Source organism: Homo sapiens, chromosome 8, assembly GCF_000001405.40.
Source record: "Homo sapiens chromosome 8, GRCh38.p14 Primary Assembly".
Taxonomy (NCBI): Eukaryota; Metazoa; Chordata; class Mammalia; order Primates; family Hominidae; genus Homo; species Homo sapiens.
In genome coordinates, this window is record NC_000008.11 from 30,829,639 (window position 1) to 30,849,354 (window position 19,716).

The window sequence follows — 19,716 nt, forward strand, 5'->3', positions numbered from 1 at the left end:
GTGAAACCCCGTCTCAACCAAAAACACAAAATTTAGCTGGGCTTGGTGGCACACACCTATAATCCCAGCTACTCAGGAGGCTGAACCAGGAGAATCGTTTGAACCTGGGAGGTGGAGGTTGCAGTGAGCTGAGATCACACCACTCCACTCCAGTCTGGGTGACAGAGTGAGACTCCATCTCAAAAACAGCATCAACAACGACAAACTTAGTAGTTTAAAAATACCATATATGCCTGAATATAAGTTATATTCCCCCCTAAAACTACCCCACTGAAAAGGGTATGGAAGCTTAATCTTATTTTGAAGCCTTATGCTGCCATTACTCTAGGTAATGTCTTTGGGGAAGATATTAGTTTGAAATGACCTCAATTAATAGCAGTTTTGCATGTATTTACACACAGATTTTTAAAATACATTTAAAAAAAGGATATTATTTCAAACTTTGATAACAGGATGACATGCTTTGGAAAACACGGTCAGAGAGCTAAAGAAGTCTCTAATGATGACCAAGAGATTGATGTCAAAGATGGATGAAAGGACAATAAAATTATCCTACAAAACATAAGCAAAAATATTCTACAATGTTCTTATATAACATACAACTGACATAATACTTCATCTATATCTCTAACAACTTACGTAATCTTACCAAAATACTGTTTTGGTGAAATCTTATTGGGAAAATGGGGCATAGCCTCCTACTTTGCTAGGTTCATGGATGTTTACCTTGTCAAAGATGCCATCAACAAATCTCAGCTTATGTGTCATCCATTCTCTAGTCCATTACTTATTTTTTTAACATATCACTTCTCATGATGCAAAATTACTTAATATGTATGTATTACTTGTCTCCCTTGACTGGAATTGACAACTATATAAGGGCGGGGACTTTGGCTTTTCATATGAAACCGCAGGCTGTAATGTGTTTTTAAAAGTGACAGCAAAGAGGGATAGAGGTGAAGGCAAACACAGCTGGAGTGGAAAAGGTGCTCCAGCAGTTTATTTAGTTATCTAATTGCTATGGTTTGAACGTGTCCCCTAAGGTTCTTACATTGGAAAGTTAATCCCCAATGACAACACTGTTGACAGGTGGGACCTTTAAGAGGTGATTAGGCCATGAGGGCTGTGCTCTCATGAATAGATTAATGTCGTTATTGTGGGAATGGGCTAGTCTGTGGCAGTGCCTCCCTATAAAGGATGAGCTCAATCTCTTGCTCTCTCTCACCATTTTATGCCCTCGCAAGAGGCAGCCCCCTAGATCTTGGACATCCTAGGCTCAAGAACTGTGAGCCAAATACATTTCTTGTCTTTACAAATTACCCAGCCTGTGATATTCTGTTACGGCAACAGAAAATGAACTAAAATACTCATGAGGTCAGTTCCTCATGGATTGTTTTTAATGTAATGGGTATGTGTAAACCAAGGACCACTCACATTTACGTTTTTTTTCTTTTCGAGATAGTCTTGTTCTGTTGCCCAGGCTGGAGTGCAGTGGCACGACCTCAGCTCATGGCAACCTCTGCCTCCCAGGTTCAAGTGATTCTCCTGCCTCAGCCTCCTGAGTAGCTGGGATTACAGGCGCCTGCCCCCACTCCAGGCTGATTTTTGTATTTTTGGTAGAGATGGAGTTTTGTCATGTTGCTCAGGCTGCTCTTGAACTCCTGACCTCAGGTGATCCGCCTGCTTTGGCCTCCCAAAGTGCTGGGATTACAGGTGTGAGCCACCAGGCCTGGCCCATATTTATGCTTACTATTCAAGAAACACAAAAGAAAAAAACCCTGAAATTAGAAGGAATCCAGTTTATTCAAATAATTCTTCTTTAACAATATTTACAAACAGGTTTTTTTTTCTTATAAAATTTGCTCAGGTTTAATTTCTTCTACTATTTAGAATCAAAAAACACACTTGAAGCAAAAATATTCCATGTTTTAATATTCTGTCACGTACAGATTTTTTAAAAATGTAACTGAATATTTAGGTAAGTCTTTAAGAGAAATTAAAACCCATGAAATAAAAATACCACAAAGACAATGTCAACAGAATCTGAAAGTTGTTTAAAGAAACAATCCTTAACTAGAATATTTAACTTTTGGTTTACATATTAGTAGTAGTATTAACTATAAATGCTGTAACATCTTGCCATAACCAAACATAAACCAAATGACTGAGGGAAACATAAATCAAATGGCTGTTATTCATTTTTGGCTGTTATTCATTTTTGAATACCAGTTAATATTACTGCTTTCAAAGTTGTTCAGGAGTTCTGATTTTGACAGACTATTTTCAAATAAAACTGCATGGACCAAATAGAAATGTTTTTTAAATATTGTTTTAACTCTATCGTCTTTTCAAATCTCTTACTTCTTTCGGTTACAGTTCTTTGCTTGACCTTCCCTTTTTAAAGATCTCTATGTTAAAGAAGCAGCTTAGGTATTCTGAATTCCATCCCAGTTGGTTTAAGTGAGTATAAAGAGGCTTATCCTGGGGATTCTCACTGTCTTTCTAAATTGAAAAATTAGTTACTCTACATTAAACAAAGTAGAATTATAGTCTTTTCAAAGGCCTGTGCCAGATAACACAAAAAGTTTGCTTACATAAAAAGTTTGCAAAAGCACTGAAGCTTTGCTAGTTATTTGTTGTGATTCAGCCAAACCAATTCTCTTGTCACATTTTAGGGCTAACCCTTGAGAAAGGTCTATCCAGTTGTGAGGGCTCTGTCTGACTAGGATCTTACAGAAAACAGGAATAGCTGTTGAGCAAGAAAGGTAATACATGAAAAGAGACAGCTCAAGACTGCAGTTACATACTATATCCTGTTGCCCTATGATGATTATTACTAAGAGAGTTTTTACTTTTGCAGAAGGTTAAAAAGAAAAGTCTATGACAAGAGCATGAAAAAACTATGTTTGTGCCACATTGTTTAAATTACTGTAATAAAGACTAACTGCATAAGCATAAACATTATTCTCTATTATTTGCTAGAAAATCATTAAAATAACTATTTAAATTGTGAAATCCAAAAACAAAATAATCTTCTGGAAATGGCTCTTGTAGAAAAAGGCATTGAAAGTGCTTCATTGCCAATATAATTAACTACAATTGCTTCCAACATAAACATTTAAAACATCTCTACTCAAGGAAACACTGAGATTATGCAAACCAATTTTTCTTATTAAAAATATTTTACAAGTAGAAACTATAAAATACTGAAATTGAAGAAATTTGCCATATCTGGCATAGAATTGTAAATTATATAATAAAGTGTCAAGAATTATAAAATTCTTGGTTTGATGACTAATGAAAAAAAATCCTGCTTTCAGCTCAAATGGCACAATGCCATCAACAATGTATTGAAACATATCAGAAGCAAGAATCTAGTTTTAAAGATTTTACCACTATTGCTTAACTTTGATCATATTACCCTCCCCTTATAATTGCATGGAAATAATTCTGGTATATCAGATGTTAGAAATTGATGTCCTATATGATATGTGTTAGATTATTTGTATATTTTACAAAGGACCATATGATTTATATTTCCTACCACATTTACAAACATTAAAAATCGCTAAATGTTAAAAAATATATAAGTAAAAAATATTTGGAAAAACTTGTTATGTCTTATTTCAATAGACAGAAGACTATTTTCAGTGTCCTGGATGAAAGGATTCTTGGTGCCATGGAGCTGGAAGAAAAAACACCACAAAGATTTAAATAAATAATTTAGACTAATGGTACATGATACTATAGTGGAAAGAACCTGAGTTTAAATTACAGCTAAAGAGATCAAAGTGCTTATTTGCCCTTAAGTAGCCATAGGGTCATCAGGTCCTATGAAAGTTAATTTAAGGCTCTCTGAGGAGTGGTTTCCTCATCTGTAAAAGAACAGCACCTCTGCATCTCTCTAAGCTATCCTGTGAAATTAAATGTAATAAAGGACATAATGTGGCTGGACACAGGGCTCACTCAAGCACTGTCCTTTAGTTCCATTTTCTGGTGTTGAATACAAGCACCACGAACAATATAGTGACAAATGGGTCCAAGGGATTTTCACATTTTTAAGAATGCAGTTCCTGTAAGTGTGAGAGGTGATTTCTGTGGATTATTTACACTCATGATAACTCAAAGATGTGCTTATAACATTGCAATTGCCTCCTTAATTTTTTTTAGAGTGACTTTTGGATATTAAGTAAATGATTATTTCTTTTTCTTTTATTTTAATTGGACTAATATAACCAAGGAGGTAACAATACAGATTATTTGAGAGCCATAGCTGGACTTGATTCCAGAGCTATCTTTTTTAATATCACAAATAGCTTAACTATTAAGAACAAAAGAAAGCCCAAACTATGAGAACCCTTCTGAAACAATTACAATCAAGATTTCCTATCTCAGAAATTAAAGTGTCCACTTTAATTCATAGGTTTGTCCCATCTACTATGCTTGGTGTTTATCATTACAGCATCAGCAATGATACCAAATTAATAAAAAAGGAAAAAGCAGAGTCATGGACTTTGTTCCTGCTTTCTTTTTCCCCTTTTATTATTTTTTTGAGACAGAGTTTAACCTTGTCGCCCAGTATGGAGTGCAATGGCGTGATCTCGGCTCACTGCAACCTCCGCCTCCCAGATCCAAGCCATTCTGCTGCCTCAGCCTCCCATGTAGCTGGGATTACAGGCATGTGCCACCACACCTGGCTAATTTTGTATTTTTAGTAGAGATAGGGTTGCGCCATGTTGTCCAGGCTGGTCTCAAACTCCTGACCTCAAGTGATCTGCCTGCCTTGGCCTCCCAGAGTGCTGGGATTACAGGCATGAGCTACTGCGTCCAGCCTTTTTTCCCCTCTTTTATCGTTTTCCTTATGTTCTTAGGTGAAAAATTTCTAGCCCTGTGTAAAGTCATTTACTGAGGCAGGGAAGAAAGGGAAAGATACAGAGATTATTACAATACCACCTAATACTCACATACCTTATGTGAGAAAAGCACACAAAAAGTACTACAGAAGTACGAGAGAGATTGTTCTATGGTCCTACGGGAGAACATTAAGTTGTTCAACGTGGCTTGAATGCAGAGGTGGAAGTGGTGGCAGATGACGTTGGACATAGAGGACTGTGAAGGGCTCTGCATTCCAGGCTAAAGTATTTGAATTTTATCCAGTAGGTTATAGTGAATCAGTGATATAACTCCAAAGCAGAGGAGCTGATGTGATCAGATTTCTCAGTTAGAAACAGAACTATGTCAATAGGCTGCTTCTTGCCCAATTCAGACCTATGTCCTACGGCCTCTCAGTTTTTTCTACATATCCATTTGTAACAATATCCAGGGCTTAGAAACTTTTTAAAAGAAATTCTCTGGGCCTGATGCCTCACACCTGTAATCCCACACTTTGCAAGGCAGGGGCAGGAGGATCACTTGAGGCCAGGAGTCCGAGACCACCCTAGGCAACACAGTAAGACCTCCTCTCTACTAATATATATATATTTTTTGGGACTGGGTCTTCCTGTCACACAGGCTGGAGTGCAGTGGCGCGATCTCGGCTCACTGCAACCTCTGCCTCCCGGGTTCAAGTGATTCTCATGCCTCACCTTCCTGAGTAGCTGGGATTACAGGTGTGTACTACCACTCCCAGCTAATTTTTGTATTTTTAGTAGATACCAGGGTTTCGCCATGTTTTGCCTCAAGTGAGCTGCCCACCTCCACCTCCCAAAGTGCTGGGATTACAGGTGCTCAGCCTCTACTAAAAATTAAAAATAATAAAAATAAAAATTAAAAATTATTAAAAATAATTAGCTGGACATGGTGATGCATGCCTGTAGTTCCAGCTACTTGGGATGCTGAAATGGGAGGACAGCTTGAGCCCAGGAGTTTGAGGTTTCAGTAAGCTATGAATGTGCCACTGGACTCCAGTCTAGGTGACAGAATGAGACCCTGCCTTAAAAAAGAATTATCTTGCATTTCTCCGTATAAGATATTAAAAGATGGTTATTTTTATTTAAAGTACATTTTATTTCCAATGGTAGAATATTTGGTTGTTAGGGTAACTTTTTCTGCAGGATAATTGTTTTTATATTTTGCTTTAACTCTGATAAATGCACATTTCAATTTCATTAAAACACCTATATTCTAATCATGCTATTTTACAAGTAGAATTAAGCATTTTAGAAAGAAACAATTTCATGTTACAGAGCAAACTATCAAGTTCTTCTACCAATACATTTTAATTAACTCTATTCACTTACACCAAGATACTGTATTAGATAACTGAGAGAAACAGAAGGGTTGTTTTGTCTAATTGAAATTTATTTTCCCACTTTAGTTTACTCTGTTTTTCCTCTAATTATCAAAATAATGTATGTTTCACAGTAGATAATCTAGAAAATGCAAGAAAAAATTCTCTACACACCCTAAAGTTTTTACCTGAAGATAGACAAATTAAAATGTTGGCATATTTTATTTCAGTATTTCTATCTATTTCCACATTTATGTAGGTAAGTTTACATGATATAGTTTTAAAAAAGTCAGGTCATTAAAAACCCTTTAATGGTTGCGTCACATTTCACTGTATCGTTTTTTTTTTTTTTTTTTTTTTTTTTTGAGGTCGAGTCTCGTTCTATCACCCAGGCTGGAGTGCAGTGGCGGATCTCCGCTCACCACAACCTCTGCCTCCTGAGTTCAAGCGATTCTCTTTCCTCAGCCTCCTGGGTAGCTGGGACTACAGGTGTGCGCCACCATGCCCAGCTAATTTTTGTATTTTTAGTACAGATGGGGTTTCACTATGTTGGCCAGGCTAGTCTTGAACTCCTGACCTCGTGATCTGCCCCCCTCGGCCTCCCAAAGTGCTGGGATTACAGGTGTGAGCCACTGCGCCCAGCCCCACTGTATCGATTAACTATAAGTTACTTAACTATTCCCTACTGTTGGGTTTTATTGAAGAACAAACATGTCAAGGACATATTAGTGATACTGACAGTTTTTTTTCTTGAATTTTTGACAACTAGATTTCCACCCTCTCTGCCCAATCCATTGGCAATTCTACAAATCTGTACAGAAAAATGACTGCTCTTTCTCCCTCTAACTCATCACTTACTGTGAATTTCACTTACATAAATGGACACAGTTAAAAGTAACAACTCAATAAAGCAGGCATTAAAATGTGAAACTCACCATAAACCCAAGGAACTTCTGGAGGCACAAATCGATTAGGAAGGTAAGGGTATGTAGCTTGTGGTAATGGCTGATGAGAAGCATATTGTGAAAAAATTGGCTGCCGAAAATTAGAAGCAGGTATTTGAGATTGAAAATACCCATTCACTGGCACAAAGCCATTTGCTTGTGGCTCCCCCGCAAAATAAGTAAAATATTGAGAGTACAGAAGATTAGAATGTGTGCCCTGGGCAGTACTTGCAACTGTGGTCAACAGCCCAGAAGGAGATGGCTGTACTTCATATGATGTTATCCCTTGGTATGTCTGGGTAATGGCATTGCCATTGCTGTTGCTGTACTGATAAACACACCAAGCAGAGTATGGATATGAAGTTCCAAATAAATGCTCAGAAGAATTATATGTTGGGTTACATGCAGACTGTGGAAGTTCATTCCAATATGTGGCAGCATTCTGCATTAGGACTTTTGAATTTTTGTCATTCTGTTGTTCAGAAAGAGAGTACTCTGCTCCTTGATTCACATTAAGGGTTATATGCCCAGATGCTCCAAAAGTATGCACAGTATTGGGATTCAATGTATCCTTCATGTATTTGTCCTCTGACTCAGTTTCTGTAGGCTGTAGTTTGTTTATCTGCAGAGTAGGAATTTTGTTCTGGATACAGATGGGTTCTGGAGAAGTCATGCATGAGGAATTTTTAATAGATGAATTTACTATATCATTATCTTGAAGTTCAAAGACTGTGTCATTCATTTCTAGATCAGGATGGACATCTTTCACAAAACAGAAAATTGGCTTTGAGAGCACCGACGCATCAGGCACAAGAGAAACATCAGTTTCTGGGTTTATATCAGAAAGGCAGGATTTTTGGGTGGGATCTGGGGAATTTTTAAGAAATTTCTGCAAAAGCGTCCCATGGTCTGGTGAAAATGTGCCATGTACACTTTTTTGGTCACAAATTGCAAAAGCAGCACAATCTTTCTTATCACTTTTTGTTTCAGCAGCACTGAAGTTCACATTTCTTTTCTTCATGCTATTTAAATTTTCCTGTTGTCCACTGAAGTGATCAGATGAAACAGTTAAGTCTATTTTGCTTTCCGACTTTGATGCGCAAGTGTCTTTTGGGTTCTCTAAGGGTAAAAGTGAGCCAGGTAGTGATCTTTGCATTTCAACCTTTTTTGGCGTTAAATGATTTCTTTTCAGACTGTCACATGAACTTGGTACTATTTTGTTTTCGCTTTTGGGATGAGATCCTGTAGTCCTATTAGGTGCAACACATACATAAAAATGAATTTAAATATATAGGGTCATAAAATTTTAATGGAAATATATATTTGAAATTTTTATCCAGGGGAAGAGTTCTTAAGCTTTACGTTTTCCCATTCTATTGGCACTATACAAGTTAACATTTTCCTAGTTTGACTGCCGTGGTTTGGATTTAGATACTTTTCCTACTGAAGATGATATGCTCTACATTTTAAATATATTTCCAATATTGTAATAAACTATTTTGTGCATTAGACATTTTCTAATGGAGGCTTTTAAAAGTAGAAAACTATCACTAGTCAATTGTTCAGTATAGTTTTTTAATTCATATGCCTCCTGCCTGATGATCTTCATTACTTGTAAATAGCTATAAATAACTGGTAAACTACCAGCTGTAACCCCTGCCTTCCCACCAAAGATTTCTTCCCTCTCTGTTATAACAGACTAATACGTTTTTGTCTGTTCATCTTTGAGAATAGGAAAAGCAGATCTCCAAAATTTCTTGCCCAATTTAATAGCCTTGAAATTATTAGCTAAATTCAGACAGTCTCAAGCAGCTGAGAGAAGCATCCAAATGGGAATTGTCTAAAGCCAGACAGTTAATATAGGTCCCTGAGGTAATTATATATATACACACACACACACACACACATATATACACACACACATACACACATATGTATGTGTATGTGTGTATATATAAAAACATATATATATATATATATATATATATATATATATATATATATATATATGAATTTTTTTTTGACACAGAGTCTCACTCTGTTGCCCAGGCTGGAGTGCAGCAGCACCATCTCAGCTCACTGCAACCTCCGCCTCCCAAGTTCAAATGATTCTCCTGCCTCAGCCTCCCAAGTAGCTGGGACTACAGGCACCCGCCACTATGCCCGGCTAGTTTCCATATTTTTAGTAGAGATAGTGTTTCACCATGTTGGTCAGGCTGATCTCCAACTCCTGACCTCAGGTGATCCGCCCGCCTTGGCCTCCCAAAGTGCAGGGATTACAGGCATGAGCCACCACACCCAGCCAGTAATTAGATTTTTTGGTGCTTTATGAAATTCTTAAATTGTATGAGGAAATATTATGTTGAGAAGGGAAAAGTAGTACTATTTCTCTGTAGTCAAGAGAAATTCTTCTTTGGCCTGGAATTCACATATCCCACTCAACAAACTAAAAGCCAAATATTTCACTGAATTCAGCCTCACTGAAACATCACCAGAAATGCGATAAAATCAAAATTATACTTTCTGAGAGCTCAAAGTATCGTATGGGAATTGATGACTATGTAGGTTCTCATTAAAATGCCAGTTTTGAAATTTGCCATTCTTCAAAATGCACAAGTTAAAAAAAAAAGTAATCTTATCACTTGTCCTATTTTTAAAAGTCCCTTTTTGATTTTAGAAGTCTTTTTTTGGTAAACCACTTACTAAGCCCCATCAATTCTTTATGTATTGTATCGTATCTTGTAAAGATATAAATTTTTCTTTCTTATTCTGTGAAACAATCACCCTTTTCTAAGCCTTGGCTGACTTACTTCTAACTATACTCAGAATATTCTTAACCTTTACATCACTGAAAAAGCAAATTTCACATGACTTTAGCCTTTAATACTTACAGAATGAAGTTCAAACTCCTTAGGCTGAATTTAAGAAACTGTATAATTTCAAACAAATTTCTTTTTCCTTAGCTTACTCTCATCCCCTAAGTTACATGTATGATCCAATGACATTATATAAATAATTGTGTTATTCTAGTTGTTTAGTATTTGCCCAATTTTGTTCAATTTTTTTTCCACATAGGGCTGATGGGAACTCCTACCTTGGATGCTTGAATGTTGCCTTTTCTCTGTTGATTTTTGTGACATCTTTCATGTCTACCTGTGTTTAAAAGATACAAAGAAAATCTTCATTAGTGATGACAAACTATAATAAAAATAATTATTATTTCAATATTAGATATTTTTAATTGCTTGTTCTGCCATCATCTAAAGTTAAACTAATTAATTATCACCTCCCTGCAGAAAGCAGTGACTCTCCTAGACTTCCCATATTTCATATATGTTTGGAGTAACTTTAAAAAAAATAAATTTGTAACATTCTTCTTATCCTCACATCTTTTTTTTTTTTGAGATGGAGTCTCATTCTGTCACCCAGGCTGAAGTGCAGTGATGCGATATTGGCTCACTGCAACCTCCGCCTACTGGGTGCAAGCGATTCTCCTGCCTCAGCCTCCAGAGTAGCTGGGACTAAAGGTGCCCACCACCACACCCAGCTGATATTTGTATTTTTAGTAGAGATGGGGATTCACTATGTTGGTCAGGCTGGTCTCGAACTCCTGACCTCAGGTGATCCATCTGCCTCAGCCTCCCAAAGTGCTGGGATTACAGGCAAGAGCCACCACACCTGGCCCTTAAAACTAACCTTGAAGTCCATTTATGACTATTCCCTCCCTCTTTTATGTCCTTTCTTGTAAACCAGTTGCTAAGCCCCATCGATTCTTTAAGTCATGTCTGTCAATATGAATTTTCCTTTCTAACACCTTTTTCTAAGCCATGGCTGACTTATTACTGTAAGTAGTATTGTATACAGTACTACTACTTATTACTATATATACTTCTACAGAAGACATATATGACTTATATACTCAGAATCTATCTGTTAAATCATTAGAAAAACGAATTTCATATGACAGTACACTTCAATGTGTACAGAATGAAGGTCAAACTCCTTAGGTCTAATTTAAGATATTCCATAATCTGAAATAACCTTCTCCATCCATAGATTATTCTTACCCACTAAGTTAAATTGTTCCAGACTTAATTTAAAAATTATATATATAAATTTTTTTTGAAACAGAGTCTTACTCTGTCCTCCCAGCTTGGAGTACAGTGGTGTAATCCTGGCTCACTGCAACCTCCGCCCCTGTGCTCAGGCAATCCTCTTGCTTCAACCTTCCAAGTAGTTGGAACTACAAGTGTATGTCACCATGTCTGGCTAATTTTTTGTTATTTTTAGTAGAGATGAGGTCTCACCATGTTGCCCAGGCTGGTCTTGAACTCCTGGACTCAAGCAGTCTGCCCACCTTGGCCTCCCAAAGTGCCGGGATTACAGGCGTGAGCTATCGCACCCAGCTGCATATAGGTTTCTTTTCTAAACTTCTGAACTAAGAAGTCTTGAACAGCTGTAAGAGAAACCTCTTAGAGCAGTGCTGAGACAACTGTCAATAAGGGCTCTGGAGGCCAGACTGCCTGGTTTAGATCTGGGTGCTCCCATTTACTAAATTCTGTGACCCCAGGATAGTCATTTCCTCTGTGTCCCACTTTCCTTATCTTGAAGTAAGATAATAGGAAATACATCATAAGGGGTTGTGTATAAAATAAATCAGTGCCAAGTACATATTAAATGCTTTAGACAATTTGTTAAAATGTATTTAATATAGGACTTTTAACTCCTTGATAATTATCTCTTGAAAAATATCTGTCCTATTTCTCCATTGGGATGATAATGGTCAAGAAGACAGGCTTTGTTAGCCACTTTTTAATATTCACTACACGGGGCATAGGCTTGTTATACAGAAAAGCTACTCAATAAATATTGGTCTCTCACTCAGTGTTCATAATATTGAACTCCTTCTTAAGAAGCTTTTAAAATCCACGTCCTTCCAAAAAATGTTTTCTAAGTTAAAACATTTACGTTTAAAAAGTAGACATTTGCAAGGTATCACCTATACATATAATTTATGTATCATTTTATAGATAATATGAATTGTTTAAATCAATATTATAGTTAGTAAATTCATTTTGCCAGACAATTTACCATTCTTAACTTTTAGAATTCTGCAAACTACTTGTTTGCTTATGAGTAGACTTGTTTTCAAAAAGAATACTTATAAAAGTTTTGTTTTAAAACATACATACCTTTAGCTTTTTACAACTGGAAACAGTAGTATCTTGCTGTTGTTCCTGAGAGTCTTCACATTTGTCTACAGTGCTCGGTCGTTTTTTAGAGGAATTTGAGATGTTTTTGTTTATGCACTCTGATACTGGGGGCAACATCGTAGAAATACTAAATTTATTGTTATTTTCCCCAGGTTTTACAATATGAATATTCATTTTTTCTTTTCTCTTCAGCTGTAAAATCTTCCTTCTGTTATACAGCATTTGGCATAGGAAAAAGGAAATGGTTAGTTCAGCATTTTTAGTACATATCATCTTCATATGTTCAATCGTTTTCATGACTTTCCTAATGTGGGCCATTTTTCCTAAATCTTTCCTAGGGGCAGACATTACATTCTTCAGCAGTGTAGAAAATTGATTGTAGTTGTATTCTAACTCTGTCACAGTGCTTCCATAATTTATGGATGCTATATATGGCACAAAGTCAATATATGTGGAAATAAAATACTTGGACTTCTTCAGAAGCTTTTTTATTTCTGAAAGTTCTTGAAGTTCTCTTGAGAGCAAATGAATAGCATATGAGCAATTAACAGCTTCATTATATTTGCAGATAATATCCAGATCTTTCTTAAGTTCGGAAACAGCAGTCTCTATCACTTTCCAAAGGCAAACATCTGTTGAGTTATCTTTAAGAAATGAAAAAGAAGCCATTTTTTCTTGGCACTGAACCAGCTCAGGAAGAAGTGACAAATCAAACCAAAGCATACCTCGAAACCTCTGTTTGTCTAGTTTCTTTGCTATTGAGTTTTTAAGAAAGTGAATTGTTTCTGAGACCATGACGATTTCAATATACATTTCAATAGCTTCAGGCTTTAAAATGATAGCCTCATGGCTGTGGTTTATCACCACGTCTAAAACATTTTCTTCTGTGATAAAAATATTATCCATGTTATTATCTTGTAGCATCTGAAAGTATTTTTTTAAAATTTCTAAGTGATCTGTACATCTCAAGGTGAGATCCTGTAATTTTTTAAGGTCTGCAAATTCAGCCTGATCCAATATCTCACTAATACAACAAATATCTGGGTGTGCAAGCAAATTACTGTTAAATTTAGAATTTTCTATGCTAATTGTTGCTTCGTTTATTGGATGATCTGACTTTCTGGAAGCAATTATAGTATCCTCCTCAAGCCCAATAGGGGAAATTGGTTCATTGTTTAAATCTTTAGACAAAGTATCATATATCTTCTGCAACTTAGAAAAGGCACATTTATTCACTCTGAGTAGCCTTTCTTCGTCCTTCTTTTGTGAGTATTTTTTGCTGAAGGATTGTGTTCTCTCTTTCCAAACAAGATTTTTTGCAGCATCAAAAAAGATATGTTCCAGACCATAAAGAGATATTTTAACACGTACTGCCTCGTTGTTCTTAATAAAATTAACCTTTGAGGAGATCATTTCTATGATAATCCACAGATGGTCCTGTTTTCCTGGATACGAATGAACTTTAGGAGAGTCCCCACATACATTGATCAACTTTAAAGTACTTTTTCTTAAGATTTCCAGGTCTTCTAAACTATCTCCAAAGTTAACTCCACAGGTAAATGGAACAGAAAGAGAAAAATCAAAGCAATCGGAACAATGCTCCATTATGGCTTCACATTCATTAACCTGTCGTTTGTACTTTAAGAATACATAGTATGAATTCTTTTCCCTTTTTGTTTCTTCAAGCAATTCAACTAATTGATCATGGTAAGTCTGTAACTCACAGAATGCATTATATTTTAATCTTCCTTGGAAACCAGGATAGAAATTAGACTGCTGTTGAAATCCACGTGGTTTTCCAAGAAGCTCAGCATACAGTGTTTCATCATACCAAAGCAAGCTTCGCAATGTTGGTTCACCTTCTAAGTGCCTTTTTTTGTTTTCAATGAATTGAATTGTTTCCATCATCATTTGAAGTTCTACCAAAGTGTCAACAGCACATGGTTTTAATGTGTGTTTGCAATTATTCCACAGGTTTTGGTCTACCAACAGTTCTCTTGAAATCAGGATTTGTTCAACTGAACATTCTTGCTTTCTTTCAAAAGCTTCCACAAATAAAGGGAGAATATTTAGACAAACCTTAGTTTCTTCCTGTAGAATCTGCAAAGATGATGCTTCATCTGCCCTCTGCAAAATTTGAGATAGATTAGCTATAAGGGCCGTATGATTAGCTGAGCAATGTTTTTCTTTAAAATCACTCACGTATGACGCAGGTTTCTTCAGAAGAGTAGGGACTTTACAGGTTTCAGAGTGGGCAGGTAAAATAGGCGTATGATTAACTCCTAGAATTCCTGGTTTGGAAATATAGGCTATTTCTGAATGTAATGTCAAGTCAGACTGCGAGTCTTTACTAACTTTAATTTCCCCCTTCTTCTCTCTTTTGTTAAGCGGATTAGAAACTGTGTTCTTCAAAGGGACTGACTCAGTGGTAGTATTTTTAGTGCTCAGATGGGAATCAATCAAGTTAGTTGTAATAATTTTCTCATTTAAGCAGGATTCTTCTGAGATCTGATTCTTTTGATTTTTGTACTCAGTATTAACAGTTGATCCTTCAGTCATGCTTCTTTTGTAAACAGAATCTTTTGCTTTTTCCGCTTGTTTAACTTTCCACGTTATTCTGTCCTCAGTGTCTTTCTTCACAATACATGTTTCTGAAGAGGAGCCTTTTACATTATCTTTTAAAAGCAGAGAACTATCACTGGAAGATAATTCCACTATATTTTCCCCATAACTTTTATCTTCTTCAGTTCCTGATGCTACATCCAACTCATAATTCTCAGTGACATTTGTTTCATTCCCATCTGTATGGAGGCAATTACCTGAAGAGCACTGTTCTGTCTTTAGAAGCTCTTTTTCTCTACAGCTCTGCTCACAGTGTGGTACAGTACTGGATGCTGCAAAAGAATCTACAGTAAGAATTCTCTGCTTATCCAAGTAAGATTTTGAAGATTCTCCCTCACTATCTGTCACTGCAGCGGCTGATAACTGAGGAATACTGTACTTTTTACTTGCTATCAAAGTTAGGTTTAATGGGCCCATAAGGAAGTTTCCTGTAATAATGTTTTGTTTGGGTCTCTCAATAGGATCTGTCCACTTTACTTCCAGGTTTCTTTTACAATCAGATAAAATAAGGTTACCTTGTTGGTAGAGATCATTTAAAAAGTGCTTCACATTTGAATCTAAGACTGATATAAGTACGTCAGTTTTCGCCTTTGTGTGACCTATGCAAGTTGCATCACAATCGTTGCCTGTACTAGAATTTATGTTTTCTTTTATGCAACTTAAAGATACAGAATTACTTTCATTTATTACTTCATTAGCGTCACAACTGTTTTCTTTAGTTGCATCTTTAACATTATGATTTGCTGAATGTTTTTCAAGCTTTTCATATTTACTAGTGCTAGATAAAAATGCTGTATCAATTTGATTTTCTTTTTCTATTAGTTTCTCATCTGAGTGGTCTGGGGAAAACAGATATGCAGTTTTTCCAGAAAAGGGCTGATGTTCTTCTGATAAACTTGGATTGCTTACACTGCTATTATAATAAACTGACTGACTTGTACTTTGGGATGTGGAGGATACAGGCAACTGTGATTCAGGATGTTCTTGATTACAAAATTCTCCCATGTGACTGGTGGTGGGGTGACTTTTTGAGACACTGCTAGCCATACTTTTCCTAGAAAGGCATTTTTTCTCTCCACTTGTTTTATAAGACTTGTGCTTTGACACATGGGTTAATGATTTAGAAATATCAGCTTTTGGAGCTCTTTTCTTTCTCCGTTTGTCATATTTTCTTTTTGACGAAAAATGCTTAGTAGAATAATATTTTCTTTGAGACACAGAACTATAACCTTGAAGGTCACAACTTTCCCAGAAATTATTGCATATTATTGCATATGATTTTGGTAATGGGCCCTTTCTTTCTTCTCCTACTTTAGTTATAAGCTGCAAAGATGTGTGAACTCTTCTATGAGCTTTTTTTAAGTGAACAACTGCTTTGTCTAGTTTTCTGGAAAGACATTTGCTTTTACATAAAGATGCTTCATCACTTAGGATATTTAGGACACTCTTAATGTGCTTTTCTGACTGTGAAAATGTTTTAATTCGTCCTTGGGATAATGAAGAGAAACACTCAGATGAGTCTTGACTGGTTAGCCTCCTCTTTCTCCCATAAATTTTATGTCGTCTTAAATCTTTATGTGGTATGTTCTGATCCCTGGAAGATATATGTAGCTTCCTTTTGCTAATTCTTGATTCTACCTCCTTTTTATTTTTGGTATCATTATAGTCAGTTTTTGATTTTGTAAAGAAACATCTGCTTCCATCATCTATTGTTGTGACATTAGAAGGTTCAGTAAACAAAGATTCACTGTTCTGATTTTCAGACGTATGATTCACATCTGTATTACGACTCAAGTCAAAAGAAAGGGAGATTTCAGAGTTACTCACTGGCCCTGATTCTTGCCTTATATTATCAACTTTATCTTCACATGGATAATCTGCATTTTCACCAAAAGGCTGGGAATAAATGTCAAATCCTAGAATTTCTCCATCTTCCTTATTTATTTCCGGTTTTGTGGCTTCAGTTACATGTGTGCAAAAACTATCTTTCAATGCAAGGGAGTCAGCTGTCGGGCTGAATCCTGGCCTAAATATATTAGTAATTTTAATTTGTAGATCTGGAAGTAAAATTGGGCTGGTAAGTTCTGTTTCATTGTTTTGTGTAGAGGAATAAAAATAGTTACTTTCCTTAGAATAATGCTGATCACTATTCTCCCTTCCTGTGGTGCTTTCCAAAACTTCCATCTCCCCGTTATCAAGTGCTAACAGACCTTCCCAACTGATACGAGACTTCAGAGCCTTATATGAGGTCACAAATTCTTCACAAAGCATGTTTTCATGGCTATGTGTATCTTGTTGAAATATAAAAGCATCATCACAATCTTCTAATTCTATTTCAATTTCACTTTCCAATTCAATGCTCTGAAGAACTAAGTTCTCATTTATTGATTGATGAAATGATTCTTGTGATTTATTTTTATCCGTATCAATTTCACAATCAGAAACCCTATGTTTTACTAACAAACCAAAATCTGGACTTTCAGAAGAACAAGTTTCTTTAAACTGGTATATCTGGTGATCGTCATTATTTAGGCTTAATGCAGGCATAGTAGCACTAGCTATCTGTATTGCAGCATTTGAGGCTACACACACTGAAGAACTTGCAGTTTTGGGAAATGTCGTGGAAGCCAAATGCTCTACACTTCTTCCAGTATTTTCAGTATCTTTTTGTTTCACGGCACTAATGGTATCTTCTTCACTCTCTAATAATGCAGTTGCTGCTGACACTGCATTATCTTCTCTGCAAATCAAGTTAAATTTAGTAGAAAATTCTTCAGAACTCAAAATTTCTATATTGTGGTAATTTTTGTCCTCCTTTTCATCTATATTGCTGAAATTTTCGTTTGTATGAGAATCCTGCTTTTTGTCTCCATATATGTTCTCTATGTTGTTTTCTACACATGAAGCACTATTCTCTTTAGCCTCATTTTGGTTTTCTCTATCTGTTTGTTTTTTGAAATTAACATTCAGCCATATATCATTGCTTAACTGTGAATTACAGAACAGATTGTGATCCTGACCCCTATCTTCAACATAAGCAGTTTCTTTATAGTCTCTCTGAATGTTCTCTAATGACACTGGTTCATTTTCATTTTTCCTATGGACACATATATGTTCTCTAGTTATGCTGCAATTTGAACTGTCATGAGCTGTTTCTATGTTATAAGATGAAATAACTGTATCAATGAACATTTCTTTGGCCTGGGGTATGTCTTTTGGTTTCGGGAAAGCTTCAGTTATAATGCTAGCATAATTTTGATTTATTTTCCCCAATTTCAGTTCCATTAGCTTTTGAGCAATGGCTAAACTTGTATGAATGTTACCCTCATACTCCACAGAGTGCTGAGGATGCTTTTGTGACAGGCTCTCAAAACTTGGAGTAATTTGCCATTCCAATGCTAGATGATCTAGTTCATCCTTATCCTTTATGGTAGATGTAGAAGATTTTGTTATTTCTAACTCTTGAGTAATTAATATTTTATCACAGCTTTTCCCAAAAGAATTATGACTCTCACTCTCTTTGTATTCTTGGTGCAAAACAATGTAATTATCTATTGGACTGATTTTTGTTTCATTAGTGAAATCATTATCAATTTCTTTCCATGAAGTTTGCTTTTCTTCATGTTTGGAACTGTCTTCCAGGTCAGCGAAGTTTTTCATCTTTCCAGTATTTTGAAGGTATTCATCAATGCTTACTTTCTTTTTGAGTGGAAAAACTGTAGACGTTTGGCAACCAGTCTGATAAATTGTTTTTAAATCAGAAGACTGCGAGTCCTGAAAAATGTGACTACTGTACTCTTTTGTATAAGCATTACCGGACTCCTGTTGGGCTCTCTGAGCCTTCTCCTCACTGTGGTTTTGGTTCTCAACCTCTGACACTACATTTGACACAGAAATTGGGAAGGAAAAATTACCTTGGTCCTTACATTGCCCTGCCATGGTAACTTTATTGGGAGGTATACAGTCATAGTCCTCAGAGCCCATGTTGTGAGCCCAAGATTGTGAATCATTAACAGAAGTTTTAAAGCAAGGGGTATCCAAACCATTAGTAAGAACAGCACAATCACCAGGGACAACTTCTGAGGAGGAGGCAGAATTAGATGGTGTCGATTTTATTTCTGAATTAACATTATCTGAACTCTTCTCAAATTGCAAAACCTCATTTAAGCCTGCAGTACTACTCTGTTCTCCCATACTTTCTTCTCTCCTCATCAGTCTTGGGTCTTTGATGGATTTTGAAGTAGTGACTGTGCTTGAGCCAGTATTGTTGTGAAGAGGAAAAGAAGCATTAAGACCACTTAAAATATTTTTAAGACTTGTCCAATTTAACAAAAGGTCACCATTAACACTGTCTTTGGCATCACTGGGCATAAGTGAAATGTCTGAATCATGTGCAAGTACTTGAGAAGTGTCTCTAATTTCTGCTAAACTGTGCTCTGTCTGTCCACTGTATGTTTCAGGTATAGAAATGTTTCCATTTTGTACATTTCCATAGGAGTTAGAAATATTTGAGATGAAAGGATTTATCTCTGAATTTAGTGCATTGCATAAACAGTTTTCTTGAACAAATGGATCTACAGGTTTCTTGAAATGCACAAAGGTGACAGTAGCATCTTTTCCTTTTCCAAATCTTTTGGCCACTGTACAGTTATTCAGAGAGCATGTCCTTTCTGTGGAAATAATAAGGAAGACAAATTTGAAAAAAAGT

General features: G+C 36.1%; 1 protein-coding gene across 2 annotated transcripts in view; it reads right to left on the reverse strand.

The window, feature by feature from the left end:
* The window catches only part of TEX15 (testis expressed 15, meiosis and synapsis associated), an 81,465-nt gene continuing 63,654 nt past the window's right edge, over positions 1,906–19,716 (reverse strand). The window contains exons 8-11 of one of the 2 annotated variants that reach the window (NM_001350162.2): positions 12,366–19,678; positions 10,268–10,326; positions 7,165–8,423; positions 1,906–3,685 (exon numbers count right to left, since the gene is read on the reverse strand). In NM_001350162.2, coding sequence (NP_001337091.1) covers positions 3,648–3,685; positions 7,165–8,423; positions 10,268–10,326; positions 12,366–19,678 — 8,669 coding nt within the window. In that variant the 3' untranslated portion in view covers positions 1,906–3,647. Of the gene's footprint in view, positions 3,686–7,164; positions 8,424–10,267; positions 10,327–12,365; positions 19,679–19,716 lie in introns of those variants that run through there. The other variant, NR_146525.2, reaches the window with a different exon arrangement.